The following is a 15,789-nucleotide window of genomic DNA, read 5'->3' on the forward strand; positions in this document are numbered from 1 at the left end:
ACCAGACAGCCCTAGATTTCAAAGATTTCCTCCTATTTTTTTCCTCAAAGCTTTTTATACTTTACATTTGAAATCAATTTCTGTAATACTTATAGAGCTATTCAAATTATCTATTTCATATTAAGTGTATAGTCTTTTTTTTGAGAAAGTGGTCCATTTCTTCTAAATTGTCAAATTTATGTGTGCACAGTTGTTTGTAGTATTTCTTTTTTACCTTTATAATGTCTTCAGGATCTATACCAAATTTCCATGGTTCATGCATAATATGCTAATTTGTGTCTTCTCTTTTTTTTTCTTTTATCAGTATTCTTAGAGGTTTGTCACTTGTATTGATGTTTCCAAAGAACTAGCTCTGTGTCGTTGATTTTCTTTATTTTTTTTGTTTTCAAGTCTATTTATTTCTGCTCTTATCTTATTATCTCCTTTCTTATGCTTCTTTGGGGTTTATTTTGCTGTTTTCTAGGGTTTTTAGATGAATGATGAGATTATTTATTTGAGAATTTTTCTCTTTTCAAATGTATGCCATAAATGTTCCTCTCAGAACTGTTTTAGTTGTGTCTGAACTGTTCTGTCCAAAGTAGGGTCCCACAGACTAAAGTACTATTTGAATAGCTCAATATGACAATAATTTGGAAGGCACCAGTTAAAACCATGGACTCTGGTGTCAGACTGCCAGGTTCGAGTCCTGGCTTCACTCTTCAGATGCTTTGGACAAATTACCTAGGCTCTCTAAGCCTTGATTTCATTGTCTGTACAATAGGGCATAATTACATAGCACCTACATCAGGATTAAATGATAAATTCCATCTAAAGAACACAAATACATAGTGTCATTAAAATGTAAGCATTCAATAAATGTTTTTATGCCAGACAAACTAAATCCTCTGAAACAGAACTGCTATATGGTCTATAACTAAATTCTAAATTAATATCAACATCAAAACTGCATCATATTCTGTTTCTCTCTTCTTTTTCTATGTCTTCATTTGACACAGTTCCAAAAGGTTGCCTTTTAAAGTAACATCAGTCCTTCCTTCCCTCCTCAAGGAATCTTGATCTCTACCCCTCTCATTTTCCCTATAAAATCACTTGAAATCAAAACAAGCAAAAACTTTTTTTAAAAAATCTAAGGAATCTTACTGAAGATTCTCTGTGTAAAGTTATTCCTGTATATAAGTTTCGCTCACTGTTTCTGCAAGAAAATAAATTTAAGAGAAAAAACAGTTTCAAAATTACTGTAGAGTAATTAACTATGGACTTTGCAATGTAAACTCCTATGTCTCCCAAGAAGATACTGAACAAGGTTAAGTCTTATCTCTAAAGACATTACTTTTAAATAAATTAAAAACCAACCAAATTATTCTAATTTTAATAACTTACCCATCAAGCTCAGCAGTTTCAACATAACAGAGACCATGTGGCTCACTACTTGATAGGAGAAGTAAATCAGCCTATTTTCAAAAATCATAACAAAAGAATACTTGAGAAGTTAGATTGGTTGAAAGTCTTCTACAGTATATCACCTCTTGACTACTAAAGAGGCAACAGAGCCTCAGAAACAGAGTAAAAGAAGTGAGATCCTGTTCTACCTCTATGTCATATGCCCTGAACCAAACCCTCCCTCTTCCCTGTTCCTCCTTTATATGCCCCTTGACTATCACAACATAAGCAAGGAAAGGAGCTATCATATGAATTAATAGCCACTTGATTCACCTTTTTTTAATGAAACATATAAATTCTATTTTCTTGCTTTGATAATTACTAACATAAAACTCTCTCCAATAAATAATTGGAAATATATGCACAAACTTTAATTACCTAGTGTCATCAGTTAAAAGCAGGGAGCAGGCAAAGGAGATGGGGAAAAGACAGAAGGGAAATAGATGGAGGAAACTGAAAAAATAAAATAAAAATAAGAGGGGCAAGGAAGTTAAGAAAGAGATAAAGATGGAAAGAAAAAAGTAAAAGATGGTAGGGAGTAAGAAAGAGGAGAGCTAAGATAAAGTAGGGACTAAGGAAAACAGCAAGACAGAAGAGAAAATGTAGTCAAAGGCAGTGGGAAAAAATCAGATACTGAGTAGTTTGGATTTTTCAGAGATAAACAGTTCTATTCTGATGTCCAATTGAGCTTTGCATATCACCTATCACAATTCAGTTTTAGCATCCTGGTAGCTCTCTAAATTGGCAAAGTGCTTATTGATTTTATTTCAAAGCTCTAAACTTATTTTAAAAATAAGTGTTTTTATAAAATTTTGAAGGGTCTGAATGTCTAAAAAGAATTGGCTTAAATTTTAGCAATTTAGTTTGAGACATTAGCCTAACAATTTTCTAGCTATGTCTGAATGTATGATTGGCATTCCAAATCTGTGATATTTTCTTACCTTTATTTTTAAAAACATTAGAATTGCTTTGTTCTTGAATCTTGGGGGTTAAATTTAGAATCAACTTACTTTCTTGATTGTCTCAAGCTTTTAAATTTGCAACTCAAAAATAGGGTGTGCATGTGTGTGTGTGTGTGTGTGTGTGTGTGTGTGTGTGTGGTTTTGTCTAAACTGGGATAAAACAGAGCTGGGGAAAAATACCCTGTGACGGCCCCTAAAAGAATAAGTGGGTTTGCATTAGCAAGGCTCTTACACAACTCTGAATCAAAGAGCCACAGAAGCTTGTTGAGGCAGAAATTCTCTGACTTGTCACACTGTGAACAGAGGAAAGCCACATAAAGAAAGTGATGCCGCTCTTGGGCCAAAAACTACCCATCCTGATTTTAAAGGAAAAAAAAATTTTTTTTGAAAATTCACCTTGATCTTATTTCCCACATTCAAATTTCAATGCATAAAACCAGGCACAAGGCACTAAACAGCAATAGAGCTTAACAGTCAGTCTATGGGCCTGCACCTCTCCTCCCCTGGGCTTAAAAGGCTCATGTTAAACAAAATCCAAAATTCTCTAATCCTAAGAATCTGTGATTGAATATAGAGAAAGATGCCTATTTGTACCCAGGGCTGCTTTTCTTTGAAACTCGAATCCAGTGTTACTGTTGAAGACTGGGTGGGGCTGCACTGACACTCACACCATGGTAAACAAGGGGTGGAGTCCCTGCACACAGCTGGCTAGGAACATGTGACTGAGGCGCCACTGCCATCTGGCGGTCAGATTCTCTCCTGAGCAGTGACCCAGCTTCCCACAGGCTGACCCCCATAGGTTCCGGGCTAACTGTTCTTGCTCACTGTACTCTCCAGGACCAAGACGCCTACCTTCCCCACCTCCGCCCATCTCCCCAGTTACCAGCTTTTTCTTTGATGTTCTCTGAACCTTCCTCCTGCTTTCCTACTCCTTGATGGCCTTGCTGCACTCCCTTCATCCATCCTCCCTTCTCCCTGTCCCTCTGCTGAGGCCTGCTGTTCCCTTTTGTTAACCTCGTCCTTCAAGGCGTTAATTCATTGTGGTTGAGGAGGGAGTGCGAAGGGAAGGCCCAGCGGGGCCGGGAGGATAAGCGGTCAATGCGCTCATTGTCATGCAGGCAGGCCTATTTTCTAGTGCCCTCAGTCATAATTCTGAAAAGGAAAGGGCAGGAGAGCTGCAGAAAAAGCCCTGCTCATCCCTTGTCACCCGTTTGCCAGAAGTGCTGTGCCAGGAGTGGAGCAACCCATGAATTTTGGGGCCCACTTTCCCCAGGACTCTGAGTCTCACAACAGGCCTCCTCAAGCTGACTCATCCAGTAAATCCTACGGGGACCCAATTCCTAGTTGATCCAGAAACTTGTGTTCCAGGTGTAGGTGTTTATGATTCCAAATAACGTAGCTGATATTTAGTTAGGGTTTACTATGTGTCCAGCACCATCCTAAGAGCTTCACATGCGCTATTTTATTTAACATTCACAGAAATCCTGTAACGCAGGTCTTATTGTTATCTCCACTTTACAGATGAGCAAAGTAAGGCCCAGAGGGCTTCTGTAACTTCCTCAAGGTTACACAGTAAGGGTAGGAGCCAGGATTTGAATCTGGGCATACAGTATGAGGCATATACTGCAAGGGATACCAAAATGAGTAAAAATCTCTTTGCTTCAAGGATTTGTATAGTTTAATAAAGGCAGAATATAAGGTTTCTAAGAGCCTCATTAACAAAGTGCTATGAAAGGAGTGCAAATGAGAGTGCAACGTTGGGTTGGTAGTTGAGGAAGGGCATCATGGAATATTCTAGATGCAGTGAAAGGAAGTCCCCAAGGCAGAATGACTAGCAGGAGTAAAGAAGAGGAAAGGAAAAGCGTGAATATCCAAACTCACAAGTGGGCCAGGATATCATTAATTCTGATCAGAACCACCTATCATATGCCCCATATTTACTTTCTTTTGTGAATTATTCATGCCTTTTCTCCTTGCTCTGCCAGGAGAGGCTCTGCTATGTTCTTCATGAAGGAACCAGTGTTTTCCAACACAACGCCCCTTCCCCAACTTCCATGGGCAACAGAAAACAAATATTCCCATCAGAAGGAATCTGAAAAGAATGCACTGAACATATTTGGGTCCTCAGAGCCAAAGACATTGTCCTCATAGGGTTATTAGGCATAATAAATATTTGTTGAGTTAAAGAATAAAGTAAAATGTAAAGCAATGATAACACCCTAAAGCTGTACAATTCTTTAAGGATTTATAAAACCCTCTCTCATAATTGTGTCGTTTTACTCTCTTCACAACCCTGTGAGTGAGTAGTATTATTCCCATTGTATGGATGAGGAACCCAGGAGGTCATATCTGGCCCAGGAGTGAGGGAGGAATAGACTCTACCACACCCACCAGAAGAACTAAATTAACTCATGTAAAGCCCATGGCCCTTCCAAAGTCATTGAGGAACCCAAGGGCCCAAGAGACTTAACACAATCCTCATGGACACTCATAGCTTAAATTGCAGAGCTGGAATTAGAATTTAGAACTTCTGATCCCAAAATGTATGCTCTTTTCCTCTGGTGGGCTACTAAATCACTGGAACACAACTACGAAAAACAGAAAGTATTTCACTTTGTTTTATGTTTTGTTTTGCTTTGTTGGTGTTCAAAAATCAAAACTACAATGGTGAAAGAATATTTGGATTGTGGCTCCATGACCTGATGGAAAGATAAATTTGTAGAATTAAGTTGAACACTTTTGGATCGCCTTTTATTTTTTAGGCCATTCTCACACAGAGTTCTTCATCTTCTCTATCATCTACAACATTATCTTTTATTTTAATCTAAAAATAAAAATAAACCAAATACCTCATGCATTGAGTCAAAAAATGAGAATGAGATCCTAAAAATGAAGTTTATATGGTAATAGGTAACGTTTGTATTTAAAATTTAAATTTCAGGTCCAATAAATGCATATTGATTACTAATATGTACGGGATACATCATTGTTTTTCTAATTACAGTGATTTGAGAAGAATAAGAAAAAGATGGTGACAAAGAAGAGAAGGAAGGCTGAGAATAATAATGGACATCATAAAATTTATTAACAGGCAGGCTGTTCCTCTAGTCAAAAAAAAAAAAAATCCTTGCCTGAATATTTTACCCCCACTTTCTACTGTCATATAAATATGACAAATAGATATATATCAGAGAGAGAGACAGAAAGAGATAGAAAGATAGAGATGGTTTACTTACAGCAAATAGGTTGGAACAACAAGCAACTCTGACGTGAAGTTATAAAACTTAAAAGAGCAATGAGGGCAATGAGACCACCAAAAAAAAAAAAAAAAAAAAAGGCCTCTCTGGAAGTGTGTCCAAGATAGGTGTTGAAAAAGAACAGATGAAATTCCCTGATGAGTCAAGAAAGAGCAAAAGCCCACCCCAGTCACGCCTGGAGTTTAGGTCAAATTAATCATTCTAGCCCTATCATTTCCGAAGAATAAAATTGTCAATTCCTCTATCAGAAGAATGCCTTGGTTTTAAAACAACAATTCTATGAATGCCTTTTTGTGAAGGGAAAGGAAGGACTTTTCAAACAAGCTAAACAACTCAATTCTAGTAATGTTCAAATATGCTCATGCCAAGTAAGGATTTTATTTCTACCATCAGCTAAGAAAAGTGAAACAACACAAGAGTACTGCTGTCCAGTGAAGGAGAAAGGTACACCTGGCTCCCACGGTCCGAGTTCCGGTGGTATCAGGAACTCTGCAGTATGTTTTTCTAACAAAATTTATTTGGTTCTTCTAATGCAAGTCAGACTCCTTGTGGTATCTGAATTATACTCTGCATTTTTCCTGGTCCTTCCAAAAAACTAGGAATTCTGGCAATTCAGCCCACAAGTATTCTTGAATTTTAAAATGTACATACAAATGCAGAACATAAAAAAAATAAATAAATAAAAATAAATAAAAGGTAAGTAACTTCTGAATATGCCAGCTAATTGGCAATCTCCGGTGAGCTTTTTTCCTTGCTTAAAATTTACTGATAAACTGACATAAATCAGGTTGCAAATTCTAAGTTCGAACAGCTAGAAGTTATGCATCTGCACTGGGCACAACATATTTTCTGATCACTTGGCTTCCAGCATCCAAGCCAAGAGCCCCTAACTCTGGTAGCCCAGACTCAAGTCAATGAGGATGACTGTTCCAATGGAGTAAGGAACAGCAAATGGTAGTGGTTAGAAGTGGAGGCACTTGAGCTACATTGCATAGACTTAACTCCTGAATGTCCCATTGGCGAGCTGTTTGACGGCACTGTGCCTCTGTTTTCTCATCTGTAAAGTGAGAGCAGTAAGGATACTACATAACCTGCCCTTACTGGGCTAATGTGAGGATTAAATGAGCTAATCACATGAAGTGCTTGTTAATATTGTCTGGCATGTGGCGTATGGCCAATAAATGCTAGCAATTGTTTTCATGACCTTCATGACCTGGTTTCCCCCAAATCTACCTCAGTATAACTCCTAAGTGGGTCTCTTTCAGGGGCCTGTAAGTTTTGCCCCCCGAATATAAGCTCTCTGAAGCCCCTGCCAGCTGATACCAGAGTGCAGGGAGATATATTAGTACTCCTAAGTGATTCCAATGGTTCACCAAAAAAAAAATTGTCTTGCCCTTGAAAATGGTTTTGTAGGTGCTGAGTAGATAGACATGGAAAAACTTTGAACAAAATTACCTAATCAAGAGGTTCAGTGAGGTGGATTTGAAGGACTCCCATCCTCGGTTATCCAAAGATTAGGCCAACAGAACTACATTTGTAGGAGTCAAACAGAGAACAATGGAGATAAAAATATCTTTTTTTGATAAAGCTGTTATTACTGATAAAGACCAGGCTTCAGGTCTGTGGCCCAAATGGGCTTCACTCCTGTTAGACAAACTCATTGAGCCACAGATGCTGGAAGCTCTAAGTTGCCCTGGCCCTCCCAATACCCCCACCACAGGGATTTGCTTCTATAAAATTGATAGCGTGGAAGAGCAGAGCAGAACAGACTCTCTGCACACAGGTGCAGCTCAAAGAGAACAAGAATTAAGGAAGCATCACCTAGGTCATGTGGCGCCACTCCCAGCTCCCAAACTCACCAATCAGAGAAGACACTCCTAGGAGAGAGGCGTGAGCAACTGGATGAAAGACACTTAGAGTGTTATTTTGGTGCTGTCCCTCCAAACGATAACAAGAGGAAGAGTGGAAAATAAGCATTCTCACCCCATCATGGGAACCACCATAAAAGGCCACATCCGTGTGTCTAATACAGTAGCCACAAATCACATGTAGCTATTTAAATCTAAATTAATTAAAATTCAAAATTCTGCTCTTCAATTGCACTTGTGCTTGCCTTCTGTATTTCACTTCATTGAAGCTTTTGCAATAGCAAGTAAGCACACATACCATAATATAGAAAATATAACCAAATTAAAAACAAAGACCAAAGAAAACACAAATTCAAATATAAAGGCTAGATGGCCAATTGGAGCCTAGATCTGCTGGCCATGAGGCACCATAGAGTTAAAAGCTTTGAGACATAGATTTGACTGCTGCTTTTCTGGACCCACTCCTAAAAATGTGATAAATCAGCACACTATGGCGTTAGTAAACAAGTGAGTCCAGTCTGATGTTCACCCTTGTTAGAGCACGTTCATGGGGCTCCTAACACTCATTGTTTTTACTGAATACCTGAAGTAAAAACAAACCTAGCATTGCCCCTGAAATATTCTATTCCAAATAAAATGATAGTTAAGTGTGTGGCATATATCAGTTTATGCTAATTCTTCAATAATCTGACACTATCTAGCTGAAGTCATTGCCAAAAACATTTGAATGCACACATCTTAGAATTCCACACGTCCCTTTTTTATAAGTTAAGGTTATCCACTTAGAAGCACCAAAACTCTTTCACTGTAATCATTTTAATTGAGAGTAGAACTCGAATGAGTTGCCTGGAGCCCTTTCTTCTTAGACAAAGAACCCTGAATATATGTGATCTTTAATTAGGGCAGATACTGTTTACTGGTATCCTATTGATCCAGAACATCTGAATTTTTGTAAATTTATATCTACTTTTCTTTTTTTTCCTGTCTTCTTTCTTACAAAGATCAACACTTAATTATTCAGCTAACATTTACCAAATGCCCCTGTTGATGGAACATGGCACCAAGTGTTGGAGAACAGGCAAATCAATAGGTGCTTTGCCTGCAAGAATCGTATAGTCTAGTGTCAGCTTAGAAGAGAATCACAGCATGGAACGGATTTTTGAGATCCTGTAGTGGTCTAGCATCTTATTTGACACATGGACAAACCAAAGACAAAGAAGATAAAGTCTTTACTGTCACTGAAAGAATGAAGCAAAGTCTCAGTTCTCTCCCAGTTCCCCATCTAGTGCCCTTACACTGGAGCTACCTTGATTCCACGCACAGAGTATGTTCTAACAGACACCACCTTCCAGGGTATTATTCCTAATCTTTAATGAGCTGAAAAATAAGATGGACAAGCAAATTTAAATTGTGGCTTAAATAAAAGTAAATAGATTGCGAGTGAGAACCTGGCAAACTGTTCTACTTATAAGGAGCTTAACCAGAGTGGACTTTGAGACCTCTGTTTTGGCTGCCGACACCTTTGTGTTTATTTTTGGCTCCCAGCTATTTTCCAAAGCATTGTGGTTACCAGAGAAATAAGCACTTCTCTACTGAAAGTGTGAACTCTTTTGTGAATGGCCTGTCTACTGAGTAGTCTCCTTAGTGTGGGTTGTTCTGGAGAATTCAGTATACACAGATGGTGCATTAATGAAAGAAGACTGTTTCTGAAAGTGAATGTTTAGGACTCTTAACTGAGTTGTTATTCTTGTAAATAACTCTTGGGGCCATATTTTTTTCCCTGTGGTAAAATGTCTCAACTTGATACACAAAATAGCACTCAACACAAAAAATTTCATATGTAATCTAATATATATTTGACAGAAACAATACAATAACTTGAATTTTTTAATCTCTGATCTCAATAACTTTTGTTACCTTAAATTTAATTTGAACTATAGTTAGTTGCATATATTTTAGTGATTAGACTAATCCCTTGAATTTTATTAAGGAAATTATAACATAGGCCATTTGAGTATATAAATTATAATATACTTGATAAAGTAAACTCTCATTAATAACATGTTATTAATTCAGCACAATCAATACACATTTTCTAATTTTTAAGGAAGAAACATATCTTTTCTCTTTCTCTAGCTTATTTTTTTTCAAATATACTGTAAATTAACAATACTAATCAGGATATTAACAGTACTAATCACAAAATATGTGAGAGCAGACTTTTTAAAGTACTCAGGAGCATTTTTAAAACTCTTATTTACATCAAATATTGGCTAATGTAAAATCTTTTGTTCCTATTAATTTAAAAGATCTCTAGGGAAATGGACAAGGTGATACTCATTCAACCTTATGTGAGTTGCCAAGTTATTGAAACTAATAAATCAACGTCTTTTAAAATATTTTATAATTGAGACTTTTTACTAATACATACTGATGATAATTATTCTGGATTAGTAAGGATTTACTAAATTTGCAAATGTAAATACTTCCATATATATGCTACTTTAATCTGAGATAAATTATTCAAACAATATTGAATACTTACAGCAACAAATTGGTTATTTTCTAATTTAATGATGTCTCCCACTTTGACATTCATCCATTTTTCATTCTGCAGTCTAAAAACAAAAATAAAATTAATTTTCTTCAAGAATGAAGAATTGAAAGTATAACCAAGGGAATGTATTCACAATGTAGCATCATATAACAGAGGAAGCAGGCAAGACTTTCCTAGTATGTTAATTCAAAATGGTCTTACATTAACACGGGAACAAAGGCCCAGAGAGGTTAAGTGATTGGTCAAAGATACCCAGTGAGTTAGGGGTACTCCTGGGCTAAACTCAAATGCTAAACTCTTGGCTGAGCACTCTTTCCACCACCTATGGTGCCAGCTTTATGCAGCAGCTATGAAATCTCAATAAATTTTAGTCACTGACATTCTTTTCCAACTCGATTGATAAATACAGAAACATCATTGCCATTGCCTCAGAAGTCTATTTAACTGGAGGCAAAAAAGCAAAGGAGACAGTGGCAAGGTAGAGCAATAACTAAAATGCAAGTAAAAGGAAAAATATGTTAAACTCTGGAAAGGACAAGAACAACAAAGCATGATAAAAGAAGCCTTGGAAGACTGAATGAGAAGGACTACCTACAAACCAGCACTGAGGCTGAAGGACAGGCTTGGTGGTATTCTAACAGGACAGCAGCTCAGAATAGAGAACAACACAGTCAACCTACTGCACTGCTTTCTGTGCAGGTCATGTATATGATGGAGCCCCAAGACCACCCTCCACCCAGTTCAAAGGGGTTTATTATGAAAAGCTATTGTGTCCATTGAATTTGGCCCCTGATGACAAGTTAGTCAGGGCTGTCCAAAACCAGACAGGCCCTCTGGATGCAGACCACCTGGGCCAGTATACCATGATGCTAATCATTCCTTCTGAAATTCCCTGAAATGTAAACCAGCTTTGTTTTCCAACTTGGAAGTTTTCATCACATTTCTTTCTCAGAGATTCCCTTCTAAGAGAAAAGGTTGGGATGAGTAGAGCAGGTTTGCCCAACAAGTTGAGGTGGACAGGTTAATTTCATTGTACTTTAAAAAAAATAACCTAATTTACTTGTTTTATAGGCTGGAAAATAGTTTTAAATATTTATTCGACTGTGAAATATGCCTCACACTATCAACTCTGCTGGATCATTTGGCTTAAACACTCAAATAATTTTTCTTTAATACAGATCCAAGTACACGTTGTTCTGGAAATTTTTCAATTGCAGTATTTTCATCTCTAGCCAGAATTCAATCATTTTTCCAGTGCTACACTTTTCTGAACTTTAACTAGTTTGACAACAATAGAAGAACCTAGGAAGCCTTCTAAATCTCATTTATCTTTACAGGTATGAATTATGTGCTGGTTAATTTCTCCTAGAGACACCTCCTCTGGCACCTTAGTGACACTTCTCAGCAAACAGCATCTTAGAAAAAATGGGCATGAGTGGACAGAGAAGGCTATTGTGTCATTTTTGGAAACTGCACTGCTACCAAATTGCCTTGAAGTCTCTACTGAAAGTGCACCTGTCTCAGGAAGAAGTCAAGATGATATTGCGTCTTATTTCCAAACTCTTATTCTTCCAACTTGTATAGCACAAGCTCTAGGAAGGATTATACAAGAAACAGTAGGCAGTAGTTCTGGATGTTGACGCCGAGCCTAGCACAATCCAAACTACTTCATCAATAACCTTTACAATGGACAATTGGACACACTTTTCAGGTTTGTGGACAGAACCCTAACAAGAAGAAAGCACAGCCCTCACAAAGTAAGACCATGAGAGGAAATTGTCTTATGATTTGACAAAGTTATCAGAAACTGAACGAAGAGTAAGAAAAAGAAGCACAAAATAGGTTATTTTAAAGAGGAGAAAATAACACTCTACAAATGTAACTAGAGTTTACAGAAAAAGAGCCTGGAGATATTGGTAAACCATAGTCTGTGTGAGATGCCTTGCTTAACCTCTGATTTGAATATATCCCTGTAGAACAATCAGTGGGTACAATACAATCAGAGGAGTTTTTACATTATCCCCTATTCTGTCTTAGCAAATATTAATATATATAACTGCACTTAACTAGGAACTCAGAGATACATCTAATGAGCACTAAGGATCATAGCAACAGAAGTACCCAAACTTGCTGAATAAGCATAAACTGATAAAGACCTATAAACAAATTTAAATAATCTATATTTTGAATCCAATCATTTTTCTTGTCCTACCTACAACCACCACCACTGACAATAATACATAAAAAAAATCCCAGCAGAACTGGAGGGTCAGACAAAATGATTTGCTTTAAAACTCATCTTCAAAATATTTCTAGACTTCTAAAATTTTAGCTTGTATGGTGATTGGGTTTTGTCACCAACTTGAAACATGAAAGCAGACACTCCCTGGCTCTACATGTGTGATGCAGCTGTTCTCAGGGTTCATGTTTAAAGCAATCTTGCACCATAGCTCTTCTAGGGGGACATAGGATGGCCTTTTGGGCTGTGAAGGTGACACTGGCTCCACAGACTCAGCACCTTCAAACTTTGCTTTTGCCATTGTCAAAAGGTGAAAACTCCTGTAGATGAATTGCAGTATATGAATATTCTGAAAAGAAAGGAGAAGTTATAAGATTTTAAAATGTGGCTCAATTTTCAGCATCATATAATTATTTCAGAGTATAAAACTCTGACATAATCTAGTTAATGCTTCTTAGAATCCGTTTTTTTAAATACATATGGGATAATAAGATAGCCTTTACCTTAGCAAACTCACAAGTCAATTGCTAAATAAGCCAAAATCCAAGTAAAAAATTCATAAAATTTAGATTCCAAAGGCACCATAAAACATACGGAGTTTAACTGCCACAGAACAGCAACTAGAATTATTTGAAGCAAATTTTTTAAAAATATGCCACTATATATCTACTCTCAGAACTCTGAGTTCTAAGAAAAGGAGGTAAGAGATAGCAACTGCAACTAATAATTTTTGATAAACTGGTCTGAACCTGCTTCTTCCTGATGAGGCATAGCATACTAAGAGCTGCTAGACTTCACTGAAAATCTCCTTGAGAAAATGCAAGTCTGAGAGTGAGGTAGCACCTATCATGCTCCACGTCACTAGACTATTGCTTTCAGAAGCTGAAAATCAAGTGTTGACCTTAAGGAACACTTTTGGAAGCAATATTGCAAGTGCATTGCTAAAGCTTGAGAAACAAAAGAGGGGATTTTCAATGGGTTCATCAAGGTCATCCTTTCCATGTTCTAATGCTCCTGATTTCCCACCAGCAACATGGATTCCTGAAAAGGGGATTTCCTCACAAGCTACAGAAGTGTTGGGGTACTAGAGAGAGTAGATAATAAAGGTCAATATAATTGACCTCCCCAATTAACCAATCAATCCACTTAACCCTGAGCTTGGTTTCTTCTTTAATCTCAAGTACATGTCAGCCTTATAACACTCAAAAGTATTCCCTTGCTCATACACTTTTTTTGTTCACCACTCCATCCTGAGGACTTAGAATAATACCTAGTTCACAGCAGGCACTCAGTAAGTATGCAGTGAATGAATGATAAATAAATTAAGGAGTATAGAATCATTATTTCCAAAAACATTTGCTGAATGATAGCATTTGCCTGAATGTCTAATAAGAATTATAGCATCCCATGTTTATTTAGTGCTTACTGCATTCCAGGGACTGTACTGATCCCTTCATGTATAGAGCGCCAAATAAAATAAATAACACCTCAATTAAATTTGAATTTCAGATAAACAACAAATTATTTTTAGTATATATTCCATGAAATATTTGGGACACATTTATACAAAAACATTATTATTGTTTATCTGAAATCCAAATTTAAATAGAGTCTTATATTTTAATTTGCTACATCTGGCAACACTATTCATGTATCTTATCTCATTTAATCCTCACAACAGCCCTAGAGATAGGTATTGTTTTGACTTCCATTTTACAGAATAGGACACTGAGGTTCATAGAAATTGAGATCTTTGCCTTATTTTGCAGTATCTATCAAAAGTTTAAATGACCACACACTTTGAAAACTGATCCTACAGGTACTCAAATATGAATGTACCAGGATATTTATTGCAGCATTATTTGTAGCAGAAATTGATTAGAAGCCACGAAAATGTCCATCAATAGGAATTAGATAGATGTACAATGAAACACTTACTTAATCATGGTTCATTCACTCAATGGAATATAGTGCAGCCACTGAAAAGGATAAGGTAGGTCTATATGTGCTAATATGAAATATGCTGTAAGTTACATTATTAGGAAATGTAAAAAGAAGTAAGTGCATGTAGGATATATTATACATTTTTATAGGCATAGAAAATTTCTTGAAAGATACACAAGAAACTACTGTGGTTGACAATAGAGAAAGAAAATGAAGAGGGAAATTGGGATGGAAGAGAGACTTCGTTTCCATTTTACGTTCTTTTGTACTGTTTAAATTATTTGGCATTACACATATTAGTATTTTAATGGCCAACTGAAAAGAAGAATAGAAGCAGAAAGAAGTAATAGAAGAAAACTTGGCCAAGGTCACATATAAGTGGCAGGTCTGGGACCAGAACCCAAGTTTGTCTGGCTACAAAGCCCATGCTCTTAATACATCTATATTTATTGTTGCTTTTTATTTCCCAGAGTAATTATGTATTACCTATATAGAAAAAGATTGGACCCTAAGGAGCTGAAAGGACCCAATCATGGCAACAGTGCACACTCCCAGCATTTAAAACCAGTTGATCCAAAGACAGCTTGCAATCATGATCCCCTGACACAAACACTCAGTGGACAGCAGCAGTTTCTGGTTCTTTTCAATCCCAGTACCATCAGAGCTGCGCTAGAGGAAAACATACAGCTTGGCCCTAATCCCCTAATAACAGACTGGTGAACAGGATCTCACTACGTTGAGAATGAACATAACGCTCATATCTTTGGAATCTATTTATTTTAAAGAATGCAGATGTTTCCCTTTTTCCTCCATTCTTCTTAGCAAAATGCTTATGCTGAGGCAAAATCACACAGGGAGGTCTCTGGTCAGCTGCTGAAGATGCTCTCTCACCAATTTTGCCAGGGAGGAGGGTGAAAATAAGAGATGATGAAAGATGTAGTGCTATAGCATGGAGAATTTAGTTTAACAATTTGCTGAGAAAAAGTAATCAATCTTACAGATGCCCTGCCTAATTTATATAAATCCTATTGTGCATTATTCAGATGCAGAAATAGACACACAATTTAGTCTTCCTATTTTGAAAACAAAATGATCAACTCACTAAGTTTTACCTGAACAATAAGCCTGCTGAATGTTTTACAGGAAATGTATTCTCTTTCATCATTTTCCTAAACTGAAACCCTTGCCCAAATGAGCCTCCTAAGACTCTATCTTCTGTAGATTCTTAGTAGGATTCTGTGAATAGATGGCTATAGATTATGAAGACACAGGAATTCAGAAGAAAATGATTTCAAAGAAAGACAATTCCATCTGTTCTCCCTTATGAAAGCTAGAGGAACTATCTTAGATTGACCATGGAGAAAACAGAGCTATTGGTCTAGGTTGGATTCCTGGGTAGTAGATTTAGAGGGAGCTTTATGTATAAGAGGTTGATTGGCAAGTTCTCTTGGGATTAACACCTGTAAGAGAGGAAAGAAGCACTGCTGGACAGAGGGAGCAGTTGGGCTGTTGATGTAGCCAC

General features: G+C 37.0%; 1 protein-coding gene across 45 annotated transcripts in view, besides 2 other annotated features; it reads right to left on the reverse strand.

The window, feature by feature from the left end:
• Positions 1-15,789, reverse strand: part of ATP8B4 (ATPase phospholipid transporting 8B4 (putative)) — a 323,617-nt gene that overhangs the window by 142,535 nt on the left and 165,293 nt on the right. For 41 of the 45 annotated variants that reach the window (NR_073597.2, NR_073596.2, NR_073598.2 and 38 more), the window contains 2 exons: positions 10,073-10,145; positions 1,381-1,451 (listed from right to left, as the gene is read on the reverse strand). Coding sequence is in view for 39 of the 45 variants with exons in the window: in XM_011522056.4 (XP_011520358.3) it covers positions 1,381-1,451; positions 10,073-10,145 (144 nt within the window). In the remaining 6 variants the exon portion in view is untranslated. Of the gene's footprint in view, positions 1-1,380; positions 1,452-7,114; positions 7,129-10,072; positions 10,146-12,602; positions 12,673-15,789 lie in introns of those variants that run through there. The other 4 variants (XM_011522063.1, XM_047433097.1, XM_047433098.1 and 1 more) reach the window with 4 other exon arrangements.
• Positions 2,834-3,023: an enhancer, noted in NCBI's record as "active region_9389". NCBI's record gives its function as "activates an Ori minimal core promoter by ATAC-STARR-seq in GM12878 lymphoblastoid cells {active_cell/tissue: GM12878}" and the evidence as "EXISTENCE:reporter gene assay evidence [ECO:0000049][PMID:35858748]".
• Positions 3,020-3,314: an enhancer, noted in NCBI's record as "tiled region #771; HepG2 Activating DNase unmatched - State 12:CtcfO, and K562 Activating DNase unmatched - State 12:CtcfO". NCBI's record gives its function as "activates a minimal TATA promoter and a strong SV40 promoter by Sharpr-MPRA in HepG2 and K562 cells {active_cell/tissue: HepG2 | K562}" and the evidence as "EXISTENCE:reporter gene assay evidence [ECO:0000049][PMID:27701403]".

The sequence above is a fragment of the Homo sapiens genome, chromosome 15, assembly GCF_000001405.40.
Source record: "Homo sapiens chromosome 15, GRCh38.p14 Primary Assembly".
NCBI lineage: Eukaryota > Metazoa > Chordata > Mammalia > Primates > Hominidae > Homo > Homo sapiens.